The 25926-nt window shown below is 38.8% G+C and overlaps 1 protein-coding gene across 19 annotated transcripts in view, besides 3 other annotated features; it reads right to left on the bottom strand.

Annotated features, from left to right (window-relative positions):
- The window catches only part of ZCCHC7 (zinc finger CCHC-type containing 7), a 237983-nt gene that overhangs the window by 144954 nt on the left and 67103 nt on the right, over positions 1–25926 (bottom strand). The window contains exon 1 of one of the 19 annotated variants that reach the window (XM_011518051.3): positions 25625–25748. The exons of the other annotated variants lie outside the window; for them this stretch is intronic. The gene's annotated coding sequence lies outside the window, so the exon portion shown is untranslated. Of the gene's footprint in view, positions 1–25624; positions 25749–25926 lie in introns of those variants that run through there. 19 annotated transcript variants of the gene reach the window in all.
- Positions 2830–3124: a silencer, noted in NCBI's record as "tiled region #4584; K562 Repressive DNase matched - State 5:Enh". NCBI's record gives its function as "represses a minimal TATA promoter and a strong SV40 promoter by Sharpr-MPRA in K562 cells {active_cell/tissue: K562}" and the evidence as "EXISTENCE:reporter gene assay evidence [ECO:0000049][PMID:27701403]".
- Positions 23157–23376: an enhancer, noted in NCBI's record as "active region_28380". NCBI's record gives its function as "activates an Ori minimal core promoter by ATAC-STARR-seq in GM12878 lymphoblastoid cells {active_cell/tissue: GM12878}" and the evidence as "EXISTENCE:reporter gene assay evidence [ECO:0000049][PMID:35858748]".
- Positions 24820–24899: an enhancer, noted in NCBI's record as "active region_28379". NCBI's record gives its function as "activates an Ori minimal core promoter by ATAC-STARR-seq in GM12878 lymphoblastoid cells {active_cell/tissue: GM12878}" and the evidence as "EXISTENCE:reporter gene assay evidence [ECO:0000049][PMID:35858748]".

The raw sequence follows: 25926 nt of genomic DNA, 5'->3' as shown, positions 1-25926 counted from the left end.
GTTGAAGCTCAAATAATTTGTGGTTATCCTCATTAATCCTTCTTGGTACTAAACATTACTAAACCAATTTTATTGGTAAATAAAAATTCAGCAGAAAAGTATACATGTATTTGCAATATTGTTTAAAATGGTTTTAAAAAACAGAAAACAGTTGAATATCTAAGCGAAGAGTTCAGTAAATTCCGAACATCCACTCTGTCTATTCTATAGAATATAATTACAGCTATTAAAAAGTCAAGCCCTCTATCAACCAGGGAAACTTACATAGTAAAAGTGAAAAAGGTATGTCTCAGAGAAGTCTGTAAAAAAAACAATGACCCCAAAACTACTGTGCATGTGTTCTTTGGACAAGCATGGAGAAAGATATAGAAGGATTCAGAAGGTGTATACACTGATATATTGTTGATGTACAGGTAGAGAAGCTGTTAACACTGTGTTTAGGGGTCAAGGAAGCAAGAAGAGGAAGAAAAGTATTAACATTTTCTTAATTAATCCTGAGAGAGAAGCAATTCATCCAACAAGGTGAACGATCTGTTCGATGGGGACTCTGAAGTAAGGCTGGGCTGCCTTAAGCTGATACCAGAGCCTTAGAGTTCCACTGTTGGCAGAATTATTTGCTAAGATCTAATTTTCAGTTCATCTCAATGATTCAGATAGCCAACTAAAAAGAAAAGAAAGAGAAAGAGAAAAAGAAAGCAAGCTATTTCACAATTACACCCTTAAGAAAAGCAATTTTTTTTAAAGATCTGCTCTTTTCTAAAGTAGAAAAAGTCTTTATTTTCCCACTCCAAAAATTTTTTTAAAGGAATCATTAGGATAATGGCTGACTAAATCAGTATGCCTGTACAAACAAATTAAAATATTTCTAAGTAAAATTTTTTTTTTAGGTATGGTAGAAGATTGGCTCAGGGTTTCTCAATCTTGGTACTACTGACATTTTGGGCCACAAAAACATTTATTTAGTGGCAGGATGTTTAGCAACAACTCTGGCCTCTACCCACTGAATGCCAGTAGTGCCTCCTCCGCCTCCCCAGCTGCCACTAGGTTGTAACAATCAAAAATGTCTCCAGACATTATCAAAATGATCCTGGGAGGTAAAATCATCCCCAGTGATTTTGCCAAAGATTTTCTTTTTTTTTTTTTTTTTTTTTTTTTTTTTTTTTTTTTTTGAGACGGAGTCTCGCTCTGTCACCCAGGCTGGAGTGCAGTGGCGCCATCTCGGCTCACTGCAAGCTCCGCCTCCGGGTTCATGCCATTCTGTCGCCTCAGCCTCCCAAGTAGCTGGGACTACAGGCGCCTGCCACTACACTCGGCTAATTTTTTGTATTTTTAGTAGAGATGGGGTTTCACCGTGTTAGCCAGGATGGTCTCGATCTCCTGACCTCGTGATCCGCCCACATTGGCCTCCCAAAGTGCTGTGATTACAGGCGTGAGCCACCGCGCCCGGCCCTAGCCACAGATTTTCTAAGCGAAATGACTTAATGTTTTACACTAGCAACAGTCCTTTGCAGACTGCTGAGCAACATTTCCATATTAATATTCTACAGTGAAAAATGTTAAAGATAAAATAATATCACATAATTAACATCCTATTACTAAGACATGAAAACTGAAGCTTTAAAAGTATCCAGAAATGAGAACTATCATTACAAAACATACTACTTATCTGCATTATAAATAAAAAAAAATCTCTAGTGTGAATCAAAGCACTGTGAGAGAACTCAGTATTTGATGATAAAGATGGAAGAAAAATAATATGTATAATGTAATCTATCTTGGCTGCATATACAGCTTATGTTATTAAAAAACCAAAACCAAAACCAAAACCCCAAAACAAACAAACCAAAAAACCCTACAAGTAAAACCATATGTATGCTGAATCACTCTCTCCCACTAAACTTAAACTTCACACCTTCATTGAAAAAATTATGACCCAATTCAAGACTTTACATTTCTAACATTTGTAAAAATCTGTCTTTCTCCATCGTTCATACAATGTCATAAGGTAACAAAACATATATTAATCCCTAAACGTTTTGATCATGCGAAACACTTAATTCCCAGCTTACTGGAAATTCTTTAGAAATAAAAATAAAATGTTTAAAACTGTCACACTGTTCCAGCTAACCAGCAAAACTCACTATATGAATGATCAACTGGAGACATTAGCATTCCTGGCAGAAGGAACTACACAGAAAAGTAAAGCCACAAGAAAATGTTTAAGTATAAGGCCCTAGGGAGTATGTGTACAGGAGAAAGAGGCAGAGACAGACTGAAAGACATAGAGACTAATCATCTGACCAGACAAATGGAGTGACTTTCAAACCTCTTTTAGTTATAGAGCCCTATTTTAAAGAAACCAAAATATGCAAAAGAGATTAAAGCCTAAAGGTTGAGGATAGAAATCTGGTGACTTGACCCCTACCTTTCCAAGGGAATGCCTAAGAGGCTTCAAAAAAAACCTGTTTAGAAACCAGTGGAATAGGGTAGAGAAAATCTGTGAGGGGACTAAGAAATAAGATTTTAAAAAGTAGGTTGGGGCATATTATGAATTGCCTTAGATGCTGGTTAAATAGTTATATTTAGTAGATATCAGGGAGCCATTGCAGATGTCAAAATGGGAGGGAAATGAATGATGTAATGCACACAAGAAACAAATGAAATAAACCTTGTTCATTATTATACACTACTCCTGAAAAATCTTGGTGTTTTCTACATAATCTTATTTATCACATGAAAAAGATCAGTAATATAAGATAGGATGAACAGTATGAGGGCTAAATATAGTTTAGTGAAAGGATACATTTTAATATTATAAATACTAAATGTTCATAGATGTGGTTATTTCTCACTGAAAAAGTACAGCCTCTTCTATGAGTCTCTTGAAGGTCCACGGCTGCAAATGCAGACTTTTAGATGTCATTCTCCGTGTCAAGTGGCAGCCAGCAGTCACACCAACTGTCAGTTTGACAAGTCCTCTCTTAGCATTCAGGGATAAAGTGCACATACACAACACCCTTCCTGACAAAAAAGAAGCCAGGGAGATGAGAGCCAGCCACTAGAGGGAAGACAATCAAGCTGGCAGGAAAGGACTGGCTATGACAATAAACCAGAGAGCCAAGAAAGGGTGAAAGAAAGCTTGCTCACTCTGAAGCCAAAAAATAAAAAAATAAAAATAAATAAAAAAACAGGAAGAAGAAACAGAAAAAGAAAGAAACCTAATCCTATATCATGGGGTCAAATGAAGAGAAAAAAAAACTGTCCTTGGTGGATTCAAAGAGAAACCAATAATCCAGAAAGGCTTCTGACTTCATGTATTACTATCTGCCCAAGTAATCTGCCCACAAATAATCTTTAGCATGAACATGTCCACTCCAGTAACTTATTCTCTCCAGAACACACCCCTACCTAACTACTCCACACTTCTCCAGAGTCCTAATGCTGCTATATGCCCACTGATTTCCCTTATAAACACAAATATTTATCCAGTTTATTCAGTCATGCATTCAAGAAGTATTTGAGTACTGTTTCTAGGCCCTGGGGATGCAGAAATGAAACAAAAAGGGTTCTTCTTTAACAGGTAGAGTGAAACCATTAAATACATATATACACACATGTGTATACATACATATGCATATAAAACATTAAGAAAAGGGGGAGAGAAAATGAAAAGGGTAGACAAAGATGTTATTTTATACAGGTGAGGGGAATTCTCTCTGATGATATTTGAGCAAGATTGAAAAAATTGAGGAAGACAGCCATGTAAATATTGAGGTTGGAAAGCATACACAACAGAGGGCACGATACCTGCAAAAGCTCTAAGACAGGAATATACTTGGAACTTTAAAAAAAAAATGGCCAGGCGTGGTGGCTCATGCCTGTAATCCCAGCACTGTGGGAGGCCGAGGTGGGCAGATCACAAGGTCAGGAGATCGAGACCATCCTGGCTAACACGGTGAAACCCCGTCTCTACTAAAAATACAAAAAGTTAGCCAGGCGTGGTTGTGGGCGCCTGTAGTCCCAGCTACTCGGGAGACTGAGGCAGGCAAATGGCGTGAACCTGGGAGGTGGAGCTTGCAGTGAGCTGAGGTCGCACCACTACACTCCAGCCTGGGCAACAGAGTGAGACTCCATCTCAAAAAAAAAAAATTGCGGTTGTATTTTATTATGCCAGCCCCAGTAAAAACAGAAAAGAATAAAGTTATTAATATTTTTTAAAATTTTTTAAAAAGAAGTCAATGTGGCTGAAGCAGAGCATTGATAGGTGATAGTATTAGGAGATAAGATCAGAAAGATAAAGAACCATATCATATATAGCCTTTTTTGCCATGAAATGAATGAGCTGTGTGCAAAGAAATGACATTGTCTGATTTATGTGTTAAAAGGACCTCTCTAGCTGCTTGGTGGAAAAATGAAGAACAAAAATCTAGACACCACTCCAACAGTTCAAACTATGATAATGGTGAATTGGAACAAAGTGATGGCAGAGTAGATGGGTAAGAAGTAACCAGGTTCTGATTCTAAGTATATTTCAAAGGCTTAAAGTGACAAGTTTTGCTGCTGGTGTGGACATGAGATGTAAGTACCAGAAAGCAGCTCAGGATTACTAGAGATGCTGCCAGCCCATAATCATCACTCAATATGATCTGTTACACATTACCTATTCTCATTTCACCTCATTCAACACTGCCATTTCTAAACTTGCTCTCACCCTTCTTTTTGCTGAAGCAGCACTCCTGCCTATTAAAGCTAGAAGTGAGAAAGGGTTGGTGAAGGCAATCTAGTAGACTGTGTTTCAGAAGCTTTAATAGGCCGGGAGTGGTGGCTCACGTCTGTGATCCTAACACTTTGGGAGGCCGAGGCAGGTGGATCAATTGAGCTCAGGAGTTCAAGACCAGCCTGGGCAACAATGGTGAAACCCCATCTGTACTAAAAATACAAAAATTAGCCGCGTGTGGTGGTGCACGCCTGTAATCTCAGCTATTCGAGGGGATGAGGTGGGAGGATCACCTGAGCCCAGGAGGTCGAGGATGTGTGATCATGCCACTGCACTCCAGCCTGGGTGACAGAGTAAGACCTTGTCTGAAAACAAACAAACAAAAGCAGAAGCCGTAACAAAAAATACACTGGAGAAACCAGGAGCACCAAATCATTCATTTAAAAAACTGATGTGAACACCACTAACACAGAAAGGAGGGCCAGAGTACAGGAGGGCCTACTAATTTACTTAACAAAAACTTAAAACTATTCACTAAACCTCGGTCATAAAAAGTGATAAAACGATGAACATAAATATCAAAAATAAAACTTATTAATTTGAAAAAAAATGCTGGCAATGATTAAACAGATAGGAAATCACACCAGAGAAATAGAAATTATTTTTTTAAAGCAATGGAAAATTTAGAAGTAGAAAATATAGTATCTGAAATATTTTTAAAAATCACTGAATGGGCTAAATAGCAGATTGGATATGACAGAAGGAAAAGTTAGTAGGCATGAACATAGATCAGTAAAAATTATCCGATCCGACAAACAGAAAATCGATTTTTTTTTTGTTTTAAACAGAGCATCATAAACTGTAGGACACAGCAACGGATTACCACATGTATTACAGGAATACAAGAATGACCAGAAGGAAAAAATGAAGCAAGAAAAAAGTTTTAGTCTTGAACACAAGGCAAAAAAAAAAAAAAAAAAACTCTGGAGAAATAATAAATAAAAGTTTGATCTCCAACCAGGAAAAATACAAAAAATGTACAACCAGGCACATCACAAACTACTAGAAAGTTTAAATACAGAAATAATCTTGAAAGAAGGCAGAGAAAAATGACACATTAACGTATAGAAAAAAAATGACTACTGACATCATAAAAAATAATAAATGCCAGAACACAGTAGAAATACACATTGCAAGTGCTAAAAAAAGCTTTCAAATGAGATTATATGCTCCAAATATATCATTTAAGAATGAAAGCAAAATTACACTTTCAGTTATGATGGAGTAACAAGGACTACATATACTTCAACTCTAAACAATAAGAAGACACAACTGTATTCATTCATTCATTTAGAGACAGAGTCTGGCTTTGTCATCCAGGCTGGAGTACAGTGGTAAGATCATAGCTCACTGTAGCCTCAAACTCCTGGGTTCAAGCGATCCTCCCTTCTCAGCCTCTCCAGTAGCTGGGACTACGGTTGCACACCACCATGACCAACGATTTTTTTTTTTTTTGGAGAGACTACAGTTTCACTAAGTTATCCAGGCTGATATCAAACTCCTAGCCTCAAGAGATCCCCCTGCCTCTGCCTGAAACACTTTTAGACACACAGACATGGCAGAATAGTGATCCTGGAGAGAAAGGAAATAGGTAAGTTGAATCTTACATTGAGAAGGTTTCCTGGCCACCTTGTAAGGGAGGAGGTAGTCAAACCAGACCCCATCTACGTAATTGAGTGTCAAGGACAGATCACAGAATGTACACAGGTCAAAGTCGCTGCAATTTCCAGAGAAAAATACCAGAGAAACTGGCCACATAGAAAGCTAGGCCCAGCATCGTGGCTCACACCTGTAACCTCAACACTTTAGGAAGCTGAGGCAAGTGGATCGCTTGAGCCCGGGAGTTTGAGACCAGCCTGGGCAACATGGGCAAAACCCATCTCTACAAAAAATGCAAAAATTAGCTGGATGTGGTGGTACATACTTGTAGTCCCAGCTACTCGGGGGGCTGAGGTGGGAGGATTGCTTGAGTCCAGCAGGTTGCGCTGAGCCAAGATCGCGCCACCACACTCCAGCCTGGGCAACAGAGGGAGACCCTGCCAAAACGAAGCGGGAAAGGTGAAGGCGGGAGGGAAGAGGAATGAGAGAGAAGTGGGGAGGAGGAGGGAGAGGGAGAGGGGGAAGGGGGAAGGGAGGGAGAAAGCCGGGAGGGGAAGAGAGGGAGGGGAAAGAAAGCTGAAGATTGGTTTCATCAATTTTCTGGCTTAGTACTATTCTCTTGTGTGGGGATGGAAGGAACTACTTGAAATCAGGGAAAGAACCCTCCTACATGCTTTCCACACAAAACCTACCTTTTAGACATATATCTGTTAAAAATAAAAGAACTAAAAAATGGCAGAAAAGATAGCAAGAGTGGCTGCCTATATTAATATTAGAAAAAGCAGATTTTAGAACAAATGACGTTGTCAGGAATAAAGAGAAACATTTAATAATGACTAAGGGGTCAATTCACCAAAATATCATAATACTCCTAAGAATAGGGCTTCAAAATGTACAAATTAGGAACTGACTAAGCGGAAAGAAAAAAAAAAAAACTCCAACAAATCCACAATTGTACAAATGCATGATTTCAACTTTCCTCACCAAATAAAAAAAGTGGAGCTGGCTGGGCAAGGTGGCTGATGCCTGTAATCCCAGCACTTTGGGAAGCCAAGGCAGGTGGATCACAAGGTCAGGAGTTCGAGATCAGCCTGACCAACATGGTGAAACCCCATCTCTACTAAAAATACAAAAAATTAACCAGGTGTGGTCGCATGTGCCTGTAATTCCAGCTACTCAGGAGGCTGAGGCAGGAGAATTGCTTGAACCTGAGAGGTGGAGGTTGCAGTGAGCTGAGATTGTGCCTCTGCATTGCAACCTGGGCGACTGAGCGAGACTCCGTCTCAAAAAAAGTGGAGCTTACAAAGTACCCATCAACAGAGCCAAGATGACATAAACCATGACACATCTAAGCTGTGAAATATTATGTAGTCACTTTAAAGTGTATTAAAGTATACTAGTTGTTTTTCAGGTGGGACACTCTCATTTTCTAGTAAGGGAGGAACCTGATAATGTTCTCCAGGCCTTTTAGAAAAGAGTTGTTCTTTTGGCCACATACACGTGAAGCTACAAGAAAGGTGATACTGCAGACATCAAGGGAATAGGTACTGTTCAAAAAGGAACACCTCACAAATGTTACCATGGCAAACCTGGAAGAGTCTACAATGTTACCCTGCACGCTGTTGGCATTGTTGTAAACAAACCAGTTAAGGGCAAGATTCTTGCCAAGAGAATTAACCTGCATACTGTGCAGGTGCTAAAGCACACTTAAGATGGGGTTAAACTTTTCCTGTTGTCATGAACCCGCTCCCACAATAACTGCATTAATCCATTCATGAGGGCAGAGCCCTCATGACCCAAACATATCTTAAAGATCCCACCTCCCAACATCTCCATATTGGGGATCAAATTTCTAACACATGACCTTTGGGGGACACATTCAAACCATAGCAGACATGTTAAGTGCTTTGCCCATGATCAAACAGCAAAATCCAAAGTCAGCCTAACTGAAAAGCCCATGCTTAGTTCAGAAAATTATTTTATCTCAGAAAAAAACTACTTTAAAATTCATATGAAGCCAAAAAAAGAGCCCACATAACCAAGACAATCCTAAGCAAAAAGAACAAAGCTGGAGGCATCATGCTACCTAACTTCAAACTATACTACAAGGCTACAGTAACCAAAACAGCATGGTACTGGTACCAAAACAGACATATAGACCAGTGGAACAGAATAGTGACCTCAGAAATAAGACCACACATCTACAACCATCTGATCTTTGACAAACCTGACAAAAACAAGCAATGGGGAAAGGATTCCCTATCTAATAAATGGTGCTGGGAAAACTGTCTAGCCATATACAGAAAACCGAAATTGGACCCCTTCTTTACACTTCATACAAAAATTAACTCAAGATGGATTAAAGACTTAAATGTAAAACACAAAACCATAAAAACCCTAGAAGAAAATCTAGGTGATACCATTCAAGACATAGGCATGGGCAAAGATTTTATGATGAAATCGCCAAAAGCAATTGCAACAAAAGCTAAAAGTGACATATGGGATCTAATTAAAGTAAAGAGCTTCTGCAGAGCAAAAGAAACTATCATCAGAGTGAACAGACAACCTACAGAATGGGAGAAAATTTTTGCAATCTACCCATCTGACAAAGGTCTAATATCCAGAATTTACAAAGAACTTAAACAAATTTACAAGAAAAAAACAAACAACCCCATCAAAAAGTGGGCAAAGAATATGAACAGACACTTATCAAAAGACGACATTTACACGGCTGACAAACATGAAAATAAGCTCAACATCACTGATCATCAGAGAAATGCAAATCAAAACCACAATGAGGTACCATCTCATGCCAGTCAGAATGGCGATTATTAAAAAGTCAAGAAACAACAAATGCTGGCGAGGCTATGGAGAAATACAAATGCTTTTATATTGCTAGTGGGAGCGTAAATTAGTTCAACCATTGTTGAAGACAGTGTGGCAATTACTCAAGGATCTAGAACCAGCAATACCATTTGACCCAGCAATTCCATTACTCGGTATATACCCAACGGAATATAAATCACTGTGTTATAAACATGCAGGCACACATATGTTTACTGCAACACTATTCACAATACAAAAGACATGGAACCAACCCAAATGTCCATTAATGATAGACTGGATAAAGAAAATGTGGTACATATACACCATGGAATACTATGCAGCCACAAAAAGGAATGAGATCATGTCCTCTGCAGGAACATGGATGAAGCTGGAAGCCATCATCCTCAGTAAACTAACACAGGAACACAGAAAACCAAACACCACATGTTCTCATGCATAAGTGGGAGTTGAATAACGAGAACACATAAACACAGGGCGGGGAACAACACACACTGGGCAGGGGCAAGGGGAGAGAGAGCATCAGGACAAACAGCTAATGCATGTGGGGCTTAAAACCTAGATGACAGGTTGATAGGTGCAGGAAACCACCATGGCACACGTATACCTATGTAACAAACCTACACATTCTGTACATGTATCCTGGTACTTAAAGTAAAAAAAAAATTTTTTAAAGAAAAATATTTTCTCTCAAAAGAAACTGTTGCGTACCTGGATTACCTCATTTAAACAAACCAAAATGCCTTTGAGAAAATTATTATTAGCCCTATTTTACAAATGAGGAAATCTGTAAAGTTCAGTAAGGTTATATAGCTTCCCCAATGTCACAGAAACCAAAGCAGATATGGGACTAGATTTGGGTCCATCGACTCAGAATCTCATTTGTTCAAGATACCACCCTGCACTTCCTAGTTGCCCCCTGTAGTTTCTGTGGGTTTAACAAAAGCAAGGGCTATACAAAGAACTGTTTTGCTTCTTTTGTAAAACTTTGGCTGAAATAGTTGTCAATAACTTACATTACTCAGTATTTTGTTCATAAGATTCCAGAAGCCAAATTTTCTCTTAGATTCTAGTGCCAAAACAAGTTACTTTCCTAAAAATAAATCATATTCAACCATTTGTTCACTTGTGCTAAAAACTGTGATGGAGACAAACGTGGATCCATATGGTTTCTACTCTAAAGTAGTTTATAAGGGCCGGGCGTGATGGCTTACGCCTATAATCCCAGCACTGTGGAAGGCCAAGGCAGGAGGATCGCTTGAGTCCAGGAGTTCAAGATCAGCCTGGGCAACATAGTAAAACCCCATCTCTACAAAAAAATTTAAAAATTAGCTGGGCATGGTGGCTCACAACTGAGTCCTAGCTACTGGGGAGACTGAGGCAGGAGGATCACTTGAGCCCAAGAGGTGGAGGTTACAGTAAGCTCCACCTGGGCAACAGAGCAAGACCCTGCCTCTAAAAACAAACAAAAAAGTTTACAGAGATAATACATGTGTATTTAAATAGCCATGATTTAAGGTTAAAAGTAATGTGCTTCTCTTTAATTAAACAAACAATTAAAACAAACAATTCATTATGTTTCCCTTTGGTTTTAACTGCCAAAGCTGAGAGCTAAATTTAATATCTAAATACAATAATCATTTTACCTCAGGTTCCTAGAAGAGGTAACCTCACTTGACTGTTTACCCTTTAACTTTATCTTCAGCTGTCCTACTATTGTACATGCATGTTATCCCAATCTATCTCAAATCCTTTTGTGGAAGCAGACAAGGTACATAATAGAAACAAACAAATAAAAAGGTCTGGATTGATAATACAAACTGAATCCAAAGAATGTAAACTTTTTTATTGCACACTGTGCTATCTTTATTTTTATGCATTATATCAGAGACATTCTGAGTTGCTTAGAGGATCAAATAAGTCAGTATGCTAAATGTACTCTAAAAAATGGGATTCAAGAAACACTTGTGAATAGAAGCTCTATTTCTACTCTCTATTTTCCATAGACATTATACAAGCTCTTAAAACCCACATTGGATTTACATTTAGGATGCGTAAGTTGAGAAAATGGGGTATGGCTGGATAAGTGGTGTCTTCAAAGCCCAGTGCAATGCAGATAATATGAGTTTTGTATAGCTTCTTTGTTTCTATAGCTTTGGGGGAGGTGGTAAAGAGCACTAGATTAACAAAAGTGGTGGCTTAGAAGCCCTACCATTACTCTGCCCTTTTCACATCCTGTGCATGGTAATTTGCTAGTGCCTCTGCAATGGTATCTGCCACATCTTTAAGTGCCCTAGGATGCATGTCATTGGGCCCTGCTATTTAAACATATTCACTTCTTAAAGTAACTCTGGACCACTGGATTCTCCAGTCAGATTTTGCTTCCCATTCAGATTTTCTACACAAAAAGTGATCTTGTGTTTTTGATGAACACAAATAAAATAGCATAGAAAACCTTTAAAATATATTATTACTTTCCTCCTCAATAAAGCTCTAATATTTTTGTTTTCTAATACTTGCAATAAAACAGCTCCTTAGCCGTACAAGCAGGATCTGTTCTTCAGATATGGAAAACCAGAATATTATAATATGCTGACAATAAAGGAAGAAAAGAATGAGAAGGTGGAAGGGCACATATACATATTACTTTTTGTCTCTTTTTCTCTTTGATCCTTTTCTTCTCACTTCAAGTCAAGGAATGGCTAGGAAGCCACTGTAATACAAAAATAATATGGCATTAAAAAGACAATGGATTGAACTGGCCCTTTTCAATCACTAACAAGCTGTAAGACCTGAACAAGTAAATCTCTCTGGATCGTTTTTTAACCTATAAAATAAATAAATTAAACTAGACTCTCACTAATATCTTCTTCATTTAAAAAATTCAATGAATTCAAAACAAAAGTTACAAGAGCATGCAATGATACCCTTGTCTCCCATAGCCCCTGTTACACAGGAGAGTTTCTACCCATTAGTGCTCTCCCTCCACTGTCCTTCCCTCACACTCAAAATTAAAATTCCTATTCACAATCTGATTAAGTCACACAAAGTGTGATGAAGACTTAACATTACAGAACATTTTCATTTTAAAAAAGACCAGTTAAAACACATGCATTTCTAATGAACAGTAGGTATGAGTCACAGGGGAAGGGAAGAAAAGATAAGCATCTTTAAGCAGAGAGCCTTTCAATGGTTCATATTTCTGGTCTACTCCTGTTCCTCAATTACACTTCCAACTCTATTTTCCACAAAGCATAATTTACAGACAGCTATAAACACCCTCAAATTTCTTATTTGACTCTTCACTCTCTTTTTATGAATTGGCTCCCGCTTCTACCCTCACCACCAAGGCTTCTAGGAGGCAGAAAAGCCAGTATTGCAGGACTCAACAGTTGCACATCAGCCATACTTTCCCCATTTTAGGACTTTAATAAACACACATACATAAAATCACTGGAAGAAAAATGGAAAAAGAAAGCACATGGAGTTGGACATGATGGTGATGGAGAACAGCTGGGATTATAGCTTTTTAAGATTTGTTATGGGTAAGGAATATGAGGAAAACAATGAAAAGTCATAAATGAAGGGGAAAACTTGGTGTCAGCTCTAATTAAAGCAACAGGAAACATGGAAATTAAGCACAAAATGAGGCCTGAATACAGCCAAGAGCTTATGTTTTGTTTTCGGGTTTGTTTTTATTTTTTAATGATACACAGTGAAGAGTGAAAAAAGGAGGAGAGTTGAAAGATAATAAAAAAAGGAAGTGAACATGGAGAAGAAAACAGAAAAAGATAACAAAGAGAGAGGAAATTAGAAAAACAAAGTAACAGAGAAAACACAAAGGATTAAGAATAGGAAGAATAAAAGAACGTGTAACCCAATCAAAAGAGAGAATATAAAGCATTTAATAATGGTGGCGCACAAATGGGAAGGCAAAAATGGGAGCAGAGCGCGGTAAGAAAAAGAAACAGTCCTGGCACAGTGGCTCACGCCTGTAATCCCAGCACTTTGGGAGGCCGAGGCAGGTGGATCACCTGAAGTCAGGAGTTTGAGACCAGCCTGGCCAACACCGTGAAACCCCGTCTCTACTAAAAATACAAAAAATTAGCCGGGCGTGGTGGCGGGTGCCTGTAGTCCCAGCTACTGGGAGGCTGAGGCAGGAGAATGGCGTGAACCCAGGAGGTGGAGCTTGCAGTGAGCCGAGATCGCGCCACTGCACTCCAGCCTGGACAACAGAGAGAAAAGGAGAAAGAAAGAAAGAAAGACAGAAAGAAAGACAGACAGAAAGACAGACAGACAGAGAGAAAGACAGACAGACAGACAGACAGAAAAAGAAACAGTAGGGCTGGGCACGGTGGCTCACGCCTGTAATCCCAGCACTTTGGGAGGCCGAGGCAGGTGGATCACCTGAAGTCAGGAGTTCGAGACCAGCCTGGCCAACATAGTGAAACCCTGTGTCTAGTAAAATTACAAAAAATTAACTGGGCGTGGTGGTGTATGCCTATAATCCCAGCTACTCGGGAGGCTGAGGCAGGAGAATCGCTTGAACCCAGGAGGTGGAGGTTGCAGCGAGCTGAGATCGCACCATTGCACTCCAGCCTGGGCAACAAGAGTGAAGCTCCGTCTCAAGAAAAAAAAAAAAAAAAAAGAAGAAAGAAAAGAAAAAAGAAAAAGAAACAGTAGAAACCAAGAATGACAGAACAGCAAAGACAAGAATTAGAGAAATCAGAGCCAGCTAGGCTACAAACTAGCAGCTTGTGTCTTTTTCTTTTGCTGTTTGTTCTTTTAAACAGGAAAACAAAGTGGCAGGAGAGCATGATGAAAAATAGTATCATCTGGGGCATGTTTTCATTGGCCATTTAAATTACTATGGGAAACAGAACCCCAAAAAGAGAATACAGGTGGGGAGGAGGGTGTGGCAAATGTGTCAAAAATAGGAAGCAATAGAAAAGGAGCTCAGTGGGTAGAAGGCTAAAAGATACAGGTGGTAAGCAGTCTGTTTCAGACTACTTTAGCACACATTAGGCAAAAGAATTTCAAAGAGCAAGGAAAATATGACAAACACACCAAGGGTCAATCATCAATTAATTCAATGCAAAAAAGGTATTGAACACGAGTCTTTGATGCCTCTTCCTTCACTCTACCACCTATCCTATCTAACCAAACCCAGGTTTTACTCAGTTCTTTCTTACTAATCTTTCAAATTTATCTCCTCCTCTACCTCTTCCCTAAGATACTGTACTAGAGACTGCAGAATATACACAAGTTTGAGGGAGCAAGCTCTATCATTAGGACCTCCCACTTGAACAGAGGAGGCAAAGACAACATAAGTATGCCAACTGAATTCTTTCTCTTTTGGCACCTAACACTTTCCACTTTGTATTATCTTAATTCCTCATAGACTCTAGATCTTTAAAAATGAGGAAGACTAAAATAGACAGACGGGTGAGCACTCCAGGGCAAAAGTGACCACAAAGTAGGCTCAGAGGAAGGGATAACAGCAAGTTGTTCTGTGACAAAGAGAAGATGTGATCGGCTGGACAAATGAAGACAGAGACCACTAGGCTGATACACTGAGTTTGATATGAAATGTTAATTACCATTAAAACTTTTTTATTGAGGCATGATCAAATCTGTAGTTTACAAAGATTACTCTGGTTGTAACATTCTGGGAGAAAATAAAATTATTCAGTCTGAGAAAGACTCCATAGAACAAGTGATATTTTAGCTGGGTCTATTCATCTCACAGGATGAATAGAAGCTTTTTTGAGGAAGGGCTCTGCAGAATGATGAAATAAAATGAAAAAAGATATGAAAACATAACAGGGCACCACAGATTCTAGGACAAGTAAGAGGGCCAGAGTGGTTGGAAAACAGGTTATTTAGAGAAAGAGGTATCAGATTTGAAAGACAGGCTTAGGCTTTGTTATGAGGAACACTACAGTTTCCCATTTAATTACAAATTTTGTCATTTTATAAGATGGGAAATTCCCCTTTTTCCTTATAGACAGTCATAACATCAAGTGATGGGTGATTCAACAATTATTCATGATGACAGTGCCAACATCCCTGCTCATATATTAAATGAGACACTACCTGAAGTAGATAAAGTATCCACAATTTCACTTCAGAATATTTGGCTGCTATGCCAAAGAGACAACCACTTATAGTTGTCACTGGCCCAGATCTCACAGATCAGATTTCGGAAACTTTTTTTTTTTAACAAAACATCAAATCCAGAATAGTGCAATTGCTGTTTTGACTTTCGAAACAGAGAGGACTCCTGCATAGGAAATAAAAGCCAGGACATTCATTTACAGGATGGATTGTTTTACATTCTTACATTAGATCAAATAACTGAATTATTCTGGGTACTGCACACTTAATGACAAATCTACATCTCTGAAATCATAACACTGAGACTGGCATTTTCGTTTCCAAAATAAAAAACAGTTCACTGTGCCTTTCCTTCCAGACTGCACCCCATCACTCATCATCACAAGCTAGCATCAAGTGCTTTAAATAACAACATTTTCAATAAATGTGAACTCGGTTCTTTTTATACTTTGTTATAACTTCCTGTGTCTTTGACATATTCAAGAAGTGAAACTCATGCATAGCATGTTTATATTATTCCCTCCTTAGCAAAAGCTCACAGACAATGTCAGGTCTGGAGAGATAAGAGCTGCTTCCAGGACATGAATTCTCATGAGGATTAGGCAACCACCATCTGGGGCTCCAGAGTTTATCTGTAGCAGCTGCCTTCAAAGTATCACACTAGAGGCTGGGGGTGGGGGGAAGTCTAATTTTAAAGTGTTTAACAAGTTCCTCTACCTTGGCTTTGATTATCATTCTGGATTGTTTTTTCCACCTTATAAAAATAAAACATAGTGACCTTTTCTTCATAACACACAAATAACTTAAAACAGCACTATGTATTCAAATGATGAACTCAACACATACTCAAATGTTTAATACGTTACAATATATAACAGAATTTTTAATAATAATTTTAATAATGACTAAAATACTACCCAGTACCTAATGTTGTCATTAATACAAGAGCTTTATCCTTCACACAAAAAAGTGTATCCCCCAATTTTTTTAATTTCTACTGAGAAGGCTACAGATTAAAACAATATCCTAGATATTTTGGGAGGGTTTTTTAAATGTCCTCAAACGACATTAAAATAATCATAACACAATTTTATTAAACAGAAAGCTTTTTAATCAAATATTTATATAAAAACAGGAAATTCAAAAATGAACACAGGGCAAAAAGTTAATTTTAAATGCTCAGCTTTAAATAATAATCTGCTAAATCTGATTACTACATTAAGTTTTATAGTGCTAAAAATGGTCACTATGTAACAAAGCTAGATAGCAAAGAAAAACAAAATAGAAAAATCAAACAAAATAATCTCTATAAAGAATAGGTTCTACTATAATAAGTCCCAAAATCGCTGCACCACTAAAAATAATGCCTTTTTCTTTGCATCAGGTCTCCTTCCATTTAAAATATTCTTCTTTACCTGCCATAAAAATCATGTTATATTTGTTCATTTGAACAACCTGTGACAAAGGACGTACTATTAAAATTAACTAGACAAAATTATTGTTAGTTCCATCAGAGATCTGGCAAAGTGGCTGCATCTACAGATAAAGTTTCACTATAATAAACAGCTTTTTAAAGAACAGTTCACTCTCTTTCATTGTTCATCCAAAATACATAGCAAGCCTATTGTTGTACTGGACAGAGTGACCCAGAGAAACAAAAGGCAGAGGTTTGAGTGTGTCAAAATCATAAAACTGGCACATTATTTGATTCCTGGGATTTTCTTTCCATGCCCAAATATTTATATATATTTATATATCTGGGCCTGACACAAACATTCTAGTCTTATTTTTTGAAGTACCCTCATAATTCCTTCACCAAAATCAAATGCAGAAAATTCAAACTCTACACATCTAAAACTAAAGTGGACTGGGCCCTTCCTTTCAACTTCCCTATTGCTATCAGTAGTTGAATTATTTTAAAAAATCACACAAACTTACAATCTCTCTTCTCTCCATTAACATTTTTATCAAGTCATTAAATCGTGGTGACTCTAATTTCAAAATTATTTTGGCAATATTTTATTTACTTGCAGTAGTACCATTACCAACCTAGTATAAGTTACTCCTCAGAATTTGGACTAAATTATGAGCTTTGTAGGTAGTGTCTCTTCCAGCTAATTCGCATTAAATCACTACTACATTAAGTCTTCACTACATTAAATATGCCTCCCAAAACAATTTGCTCAAACTGTTCTCCCTATCTATTCTTCTGGTTTACAATGCCTTTCCCTTCCTCGACATATTTAAGTTCCCCCTTTACCAGATTCTCCAGGATTCACAAGCAATTGTTTCCTTTTCCATGCCACATTTCATATTCACCCCAGGATAGTCATCTTCCCACTCATTAAACTGCTACATTAGACGCAAAACACATTGGTTTGCATGACCACATCACAAACATTGCTAATGAGCAGCATTTTTCATATATCTAAAGGAGATGAGAAGAAAATAAACAAAAAAAACTTTATTTTGTAGTTTCTTCTGCAACGTCCCTAGTGGCTAAATAACAGTTATTTGCTGAATTAAACTTATCAACAATATGATTTAGGCATTTAGGTGTGCAAAGGGATGCACTTATAAGGGATCTGCTGTTACAAAAAATATGAGAATCTGGCTGGACGCGGTGGCTTACGTCTGTAATCCCAGCACTTTGGGAGGCTGAGGTGGGCGGATCTCCTGAGGTCAGGAGTTCAAGACCAGCCTTGCTAACATGGTAAAACCCCGTCTTCACTGAAAATACAAAAATTAGCCAGGTGTGGTGGTGCACGCCTGTAATCCTAGCTACTAGGGAGGCTGAGGCATGAGAATAGCTTGAACCCGGGTGGTGGAGGTTGCAGTGAGCCGAGATCACACCACTGCACTCTAGCCTGGGCAATAGAGTGAGACCCCATCTCAAAAAAAAAAAAAAAAAGAAAAAAGAGAATCCAAGAAATCTGAGTTCTTGTTCTGCTATACCCACCTGAGAGTAAGCAGTGACAATGATCTCAACAACATACAAAGACATCCTTTGGATAGAGAATTTGTATATATAATAACTGTTTGTAATATCAGCTATTCTTTGACAACAGGATTTTTCTCTTAAATTCCTTCTATTTGTTAGAGATTCAATTTGTCACCCAAGCTGTGGATTTATAGGATTTACATCCTTAAAACGAATTCCAGCATAATTTCACACAGAAGCCTTCCTGAAGTTAACCAGGACAACACCCAAATAAATCTTCCCTTTAAAAAGAATAAATGCTCCATGAAAATCATCAATACATCACTTAAGCTTAAGGCACAATATCTGTGCAACACCAAGCTCTATCCCAATCCTCCCAGTGCCACTAGAGTCTGTCTTAACCCCACACACTCTCTATTATCTGTTCAGACATGTTTTCCCAGTACCATTACTCCAAATAATTCCATTCCCTATACTAAATACACTGCTTCATCCTGCTTGATTCTCTACCTATATTATCTAACAGTCTTGCTCTTGAGTTGCAAGGCCGTTGCTACTTAACTCTACATTGACCTACCACTTACGATATGTAAGTAAGCTCTAAAGTCTCTTATAGGACCTCTGTATCATCTCTTAAATCACCAGGAATCAAGTACTCCAATTTGAGTTTTAACCATTATCTAATTTTCTATTAAAAATGCTAACTCAAAAAGAGAAATATTCTTTAATATATTAAAGGCCACTATCCTAGCATAGCAAGTACCCAATTTTTTAGAGTTTGTCTTCAATATATCCACATTTGTATGAAAACTTCACCCTAACTACAAAATTGGTCAGAGTGCTTAATTGTGTGGGATAGGCAAGTTAAGTGCCAGAGAGGAGTTCAAAGAACATCAGCAATGTCTGAGTTTGAGTGTGAACCTGAAAATCATAATGAAAACGCTGTAAGAGGGAAAGGGATGAGGCATTCAAATAATAATTTTAAAGATGAGGATATCAGGTTACAAGGGTCACACAGGACAAGCTTCATGGAGGAGATGAGACTTCAGGTGACTGATGGATTTGCACTGATTAGGAAAGAGGGAGAAAGAAATTCCTGAAGGCGGACAAATTTTTCCTTGGTAGATATGTGCCCAGCTTTTGTAGTAAGAGCAGGGCAGGATTACCACCTCATTCCTTGCTGAGGATAGAAACTGCATATAAACTGCATTAATTGGTAGCTCATATAAAATTGTACATGAAACAGCAGAAAATCCAACAACATAAACAGGCTATTATTAACACAATTTTTTTTTTTTAAAAGGCTACTAGATTTTTCTCCAGGCTGTAGAACCTGCCAGACTGTAGTACAGTGGCAGGCAACTTACATCCCTTGGAAAAGTTACTTTTGTGTGATCATCTAAACTAACAATTTTAAAGAATGTTTTATACAAAATATGGGATAATTATTGGTCTGAGACAGAAATAAGACTTTCTGAACATCTTTCTTTGGCCTGCTAGATGTCAAAATGCAGTAAAATTTCCTATTGTAGGAGAATTTTAGTTAATAAAAGTAATTTTATTCCAATGTCTGATTTACACAGTACAAAAGTGTACTAATAACCGTCAGAAATTTTTAAAGCTACAATACCCTTCTGAAGCCACCCTAATAATTGCTTATTAAAACACTTTCTGTTAAAATGTTAAAGTTATTGATTTTTTTTAAATTTCAGCAATACAAAGATGTAGCTTTCAATTCATGTTCAAACATAAAATAACTGAATTGAAAAACAATTTCACTTTCATTGAAATCAAGTCAATGGCTCATTATTCAAAAGCATATGTTCATCAATACAAATAAACTTTCATTTCTATTTGAGGTTAAAATCCTAAAATAGCCCCAAAGTTGCACCACAATTCAGCTGCTATGGAAAGCTAAGTAGTGCTTCCCATGACTAAATGGATTAATTCTTTAGCCCAAACACAATTACTGTTCTCCACACTGTTCCATTGAACATCTAAATAAGCATCCCAAAGCTTATTTCATTCAAAGAAAAGATCCAGACTAAAGAATAATCCCAATGTATGAAGTTTACATTTTGTGTAAAGTTTTTTTAAAAAGGGAAAAATCTATAAGTGGTAATCAGGAAAAGACATGAGTCATTGTAGACAGGTGTTGGGGATGACATCTATCGACTAATAGATATCTTTGTTGAAGGACTGCCGTACAGATTCCAGTAGATGTCTTTTTCTCAAACCAATTTTTCTGACTTAGTTATTGAATCTAGACTTTTCCATAGGTGACACACACATTAACAGCAAAAAGAATAACTCTTCAAGAAATAGCCAATTACATGGAAAGATATTTCTTCTGGTCCTTTTCTTGCTTTAAAATTTTTCAACTTCAACCATGTATGAAAAGTGCTGTCTTACAATCATGTTTACTGAACATTTTATTCTTCCATATATTTCTACATTTCAAAAATCTCCTGTAATACACACCTGATCTAAAGAAGAAAATATGGAGAGGTCAGGGAATAGGAATGAGGGCAATGAGCTATACTGAAATAATTCAATATGGCTCAAAGGGTAAAATGAAAGAAAAATAATAGTTACTAATTTCAGATCAGGATTCTCTGACAATAACAAGTTATCTGATTATGAGATGGGCTGCCTTATTAACACTTGCTGTTACTGAGATGTTTACAAAGAAACTAGGTAACCATGTCCACTATGTTGGAGAAAAAATTCCTATATGAGAGAAACTGGACTACATAACCCTATAGACTTTCTTCTGACTCTTAATACTGGTCATTCAATTTCCACTCCTTTTTAACTAAAGTTCTGAAATGGTAGCTCTTTTTCCACCTGTTTAATGCCCCTTGGGAGACCACTACTGTCAAATTATCATTGCAACATTAGTTGCTAGAAAGAGAATTTTTAGCTCTTTATAACACTTTTGCATTTAACTAAAGGATTATTTGCTGTTAGGCGGTTTTCTACAGCTCTGCCCCCAAAGGACTTTCACAAACAATGCAAATGCATTTTCACAAGATGGAGCAATTTAGCTTTGGTCTTTTAATGAAGGCTGAATTAATGGCAAGGCTTCCTTGCATTGTTGTAAACTAGACTGCTACAAAGAGCAGGTGAAATGGTTTTCTTCCTTTGGGCAGAAATGAAAATAAACTGTAAAATTCCTACCCAGTTTTGATTCATGTTTGCGTTCATTAACAGAGGGTTAAACAGCCTGAACCTTACCTTTAGCAACTGCAGGTATAATCGGATTAATTTAAATGGTTATTAATGCCCTTTGGAATTCTAATTAGCCAGGGGGACAGCTGATGCAGACAGCCTTCGGGGGTGGGGATTAGTCTCTCAATCAGAGTTCAAACTCTCAGAGCAGCACCCCTACATAAATCCTATCCACCATTTTAGTGGGGTGGGAGTAGGGGACATGGAGAGTAGGGGTGAAGAATCTAAAATAAAGAAATACAGTGTAAAAAACAAAAAGTACAAAAAGGTAAGAAATATAAAAGAGAAAGGAGAAAAAATATGACAAAAAATGTTCAATATACTTTCAAAACAATATACTGGTGATTAAAAAGAAGAGAAACCTAATGCACTTCAAATAAGTACAACAAACAAAAAGAAACTTCCTAGAAAATGGTTATTAGATCTTTGGCCTAGAATCTTATGACAAATTAGAAAAGACATAAAACTAAGGTAAAATTACTTTTTCCATAGGCAAAAATTTAATTATCCTGCTTCTCTGAGGCAGCAAAAGTTGCAATAGCTTCAAGTGCCCAAAATGTTTTACTAAATTTGCACATTTAGTTGCACCCATAAAAGGTGTACCCTGAAACGGGACAGTTTCCTTGTGTGGGTTCTAATGCATGTATTCTTTTTTTTTTTTTTTGAGACGGAGTTTTGCTCTTGATGCCCAGGCTGGAGTGCAATGGCGCGATCTCGGCTCACCGCAACCTCCGCCTCCCGGGTTCAAGCAATTCTCCCACCTCAGCCACCCAAGTAGCTGGGATTACAGGCAAGCACCACCACGCCCAGCTAATTTGGTATTTTTTTTTAGTAGAGACAGGGTTTTTCCATGTTGGTCAGGCTGGTCTCGAACTCCTGACTTCAGGTGATCCACCCGCCTCAGCCTCCCAAAGTGCTGGGATTTACAGGCGTGAGCCACCGTGCCCAGCCTAATGCATGTATTCTTAAACAACATGAAGCATAAAACAAAGAATATGGGGAAACCCATACATTAGAGTTACAATTGTTTCTTACGTTTTAACATTTTTGTTGATTTCCAAATATACCAGGAGTTCCAATTCCAAGTAAGATGGAATAAGCACACACTACCTTGTCTTTTCCACTGAATCCAGAAAACCTGGATGATGCATAAAGCAGCTAGTTAAGGCAGACTGGGGAATAAAATAAGAATTCATATTAATATCAAACAGATGATTTAGTATTTTTCCCCCTTTAGTATCTCCTGCCCTAGACTCAAAGCAGCTGAAATCTGGAAGCAGGCACTCAGGGATAGACAAAGAGAACTCCAGGAGAAGCCTCTAGTTCTAGCTTGAGGAGCAGGAACAGAATCTCCTAATACTTAGATAGAATGAAGAAAATTCCCTAGGCATTTTTTTTATTCTTTTCAACATCCTCCATACCCAGCCCCTGAGCAAACAAGATGGTGGTGGAAGCAGTGACAGCAGCAGCAGTGGGGTCTGCAGAAGTCTAAAACTCTGAGGGAACAAACCTTCATCATCAAGAGGGTAGCAAGAATTCTTTTTGCTTATTTTTTTCTCTGTCTTCTTGCTACTTGGCCCCAGTATGGGCACAGCTGCAAGAAATGTGCAGCAGAAGAGAGTAACTAAAGCAAGCTCCAGCTCTGTAGCTGGAAGTATAAAGAGGGGAGGATTAGGCAACCAAAAAGTACCAGAGAGATTATGAAGAAGGAGAAGCATAGGAAAGTGGCCCCATGAAGTTTGTGCTCACCCTTCCAAACTATGCCTGCATAAGGTTGATCCTAAAATAACATACCACAGACTCTGAGAGCTAAACTATGGAGTAGACAACTACTCAGTTCCCAGACAGTCCAATGTTTGGCACACACACTGGACAGTTCTGAGTAAGACTGCAAAGGTTTTGTAAAGGAAACTGGCATTGGAACTACAGCCTACAGAAGGCTGTTTAGAACTTTCAACCTGAATGAACCCAACCAAATTGCCTATTAAAAAAAAAAATCAGCTGGGCGTGGTGGCTCATGCCTGTAATCCCAGCACTTTGGGAGGCCAAGGCAGGCAGATCACCTGAGGTCAGGAGTTCGAGACCAGCCTGGTCAACATGGTGAAACCGCGTCTCTACTAAAAATAGAAAAAATTAGCTGGGTGTGGTAGTGTGCACCTGTAATCCTAGCTACTTGGGAGACTGACGCAGGAGAATCGCTTGAGCCCAGGAAGCAGAGGTTGCAGTGAGCCGAGACCACGCTGTTGCACTCCAGCCTGGGCAACAAGTGCAAAACTCAGTCTCAGCGGGGGAAAAGAATTCAACATTCATCACAGCATTAAACCAAGACAAAAGGTCTCAAAATATGACACTTAAATTGTCCAGGATACAGCCCAAAATAATTTGACAAATGAAGAATCAGGAAAACCTCAATGAGAAAAAAACAACAGATGCCAACACTGAAATAATGCAGATGATGGATTTATCTGACCAAGACTTTAAAGCCACTATTATAAAAATGTTCCAACAAGGGCAAACACTCTTGGATGAACAAAGATGGAAAGCCACCTCAAAAAATAGAAGATATAAAGAAAAATCAAATGCAAAATTTAGAAACTGAAAAATATAATAACCAAAATGAAAATCTCATTAGACAGGCTAGATAGCTGACAGATTTATAGAAAATATTAAATCTGAGAGATGGGAAAAAAATGAAGAAAGGAAGGAGTGGGGAGAGGGGAGGAGATGGGAGGAGAGAGGGGAGGGGAGGGGAGAGGGGAGGAGAGAAGGGAGGGGCGAGGGGAGAAGGGAGGGGGAGGGGAGAGGAGAAGGGAGAGGAGGGGGAAAGAGAAGGGGAGGGGAGAGGGAAGAGGGGAGGAGAGGGGAGGGGAAGGGGAGGGGAGGGAGGGGGAAGGGAGGGGTGAGGAAGAGAGGGGGAGGGGAAAGGAGGGAGGGGGAAGAGAGGGGTGAGGAAGGGGAGGGGTGAGGAAGGGAGGGGGAGGGGTGGGGGAAGGGAGGGGAGGTGAGATAGGGGAGGAGAGGGAGGGGAGGGGAGGAAGGGGAGGGGGAGGGGAAAGGAGGGGGAGGGGCGGGGGAAGGGAAGGGAGGTGAGATGGGGAGGGTAGGGGAGGTGAGGGGGGAGGGTAGGGGGAGGTGAGGGGGGAGGGTAATAAGGAGGGGTGGGGAGAGGGGGGAGGGGGAAGGAAGGGGGGAGGGGTAGGGGGAGAGAAGATGAGAGGAGAGACCAACCTCAGGGGCTGGGCATGGTGTCTCACACCTAATTCCAGCACTCTGGGAGGCTGAGGTGGGAGGATCACTTGAGCCCAGGAGTTCGAGACCAGACTGGGGCAACATAGTGAAATCTTGGCACTATAAAAAATAAGATAAAAAAAATTAGTCAGGCATGATGGCACACATCTGTAGTTCCAGCTATTCTGAAGGTGGAGGCAGGAGGATTGCTTGAGCCAATTTTGAGGCAGCAGTGAGTTGTGATCACACCACTGCACTTCACGCTGGGAGACAGAATGAGACCCTGTCTCTTAAAACAAAAAAATAAAAATAAAAATAAAAAACCTCAAGGACTTACAGGACAATAGTTATCAAGAGGTCTAATATTCATTTCCTCAAGTTCCAGAAGGGAAGAAGAGTATAGTGGAGAAAGAAAAAGCATTTGAGTAAATAATGGCTGAAAACTCAAATTTTCAAATTCTTAAGTTTCACTTGCATTACTCACAAAGTAACAAAATTAGAATAACTGAGAATTTGTCATCGGAAACCACAGAGGACAAAAGGAAGTAGGATAGTATTTTTAAGTTCTAACAGAAAAGACCTTTTAACCCAGCACAGTCGGGCCTTCATACCCATGGGTTCCACAACAGTGGATTCAACCAACCCTGTATCGAAAATTTAAAAAAAAAAAAATTGCATCTGTACTGAACACCCAACACAAAACAGGGCAAAAAGACTTCATAAAACTGCCATTTGCATCTTTTAATGAAGGGTAATTCTGTGAATTCTGTGAGAAATCAGATATCCACAGATCTTTAATGGCACTGCCACTTTGCTCATTTTATTCCATTTATCTTCCCATCTCCCGAAGTAGAAACAATAATATCAAACAGCTTAAAAGTACCTACCTGTGCATGATACTGTCAAGACAAGGGGTCCCCAAACTCTGGGGAACAATCAGTACCAGTTCGTGGCCTGTTAGGAACTGGGCCACACAGCAGGAGGTGAGCAGCCGGCAGGCTAGTCAGAATTAGAGCCTGAGCTCCGCCTCCTGTCAAATCAGCTGCTGCATTAGATTCTCATAGGAGCATGAACCCTATTGTGAACTGCACATGCGAGGGATCTAGGTTGTATGCTCCTTATGATAATCTAATGTCTGATGATCTGAGGTGGAACAGTTTCATCTCGAAACTATCCCCCGACCCCTGTC

The sequence above is a fragment of the Homo sapiens genome, chromosome 9, assembly GCF_000001405.40.
Source record: "Homo sapiens chromosome 9, GRCh38.p14 Primary Assembly".
Lineage (NCBI taxonomy): Eukaryota > Metazoa > Chordata > Mammalia > Primates > Hominidae > Homo > Homo sapiens.
The sequence above is the reverse complement of the archived record's forward strand: the minus strand, read 5'-3'. Positions and strand labels throughout refer to the sequence as shown.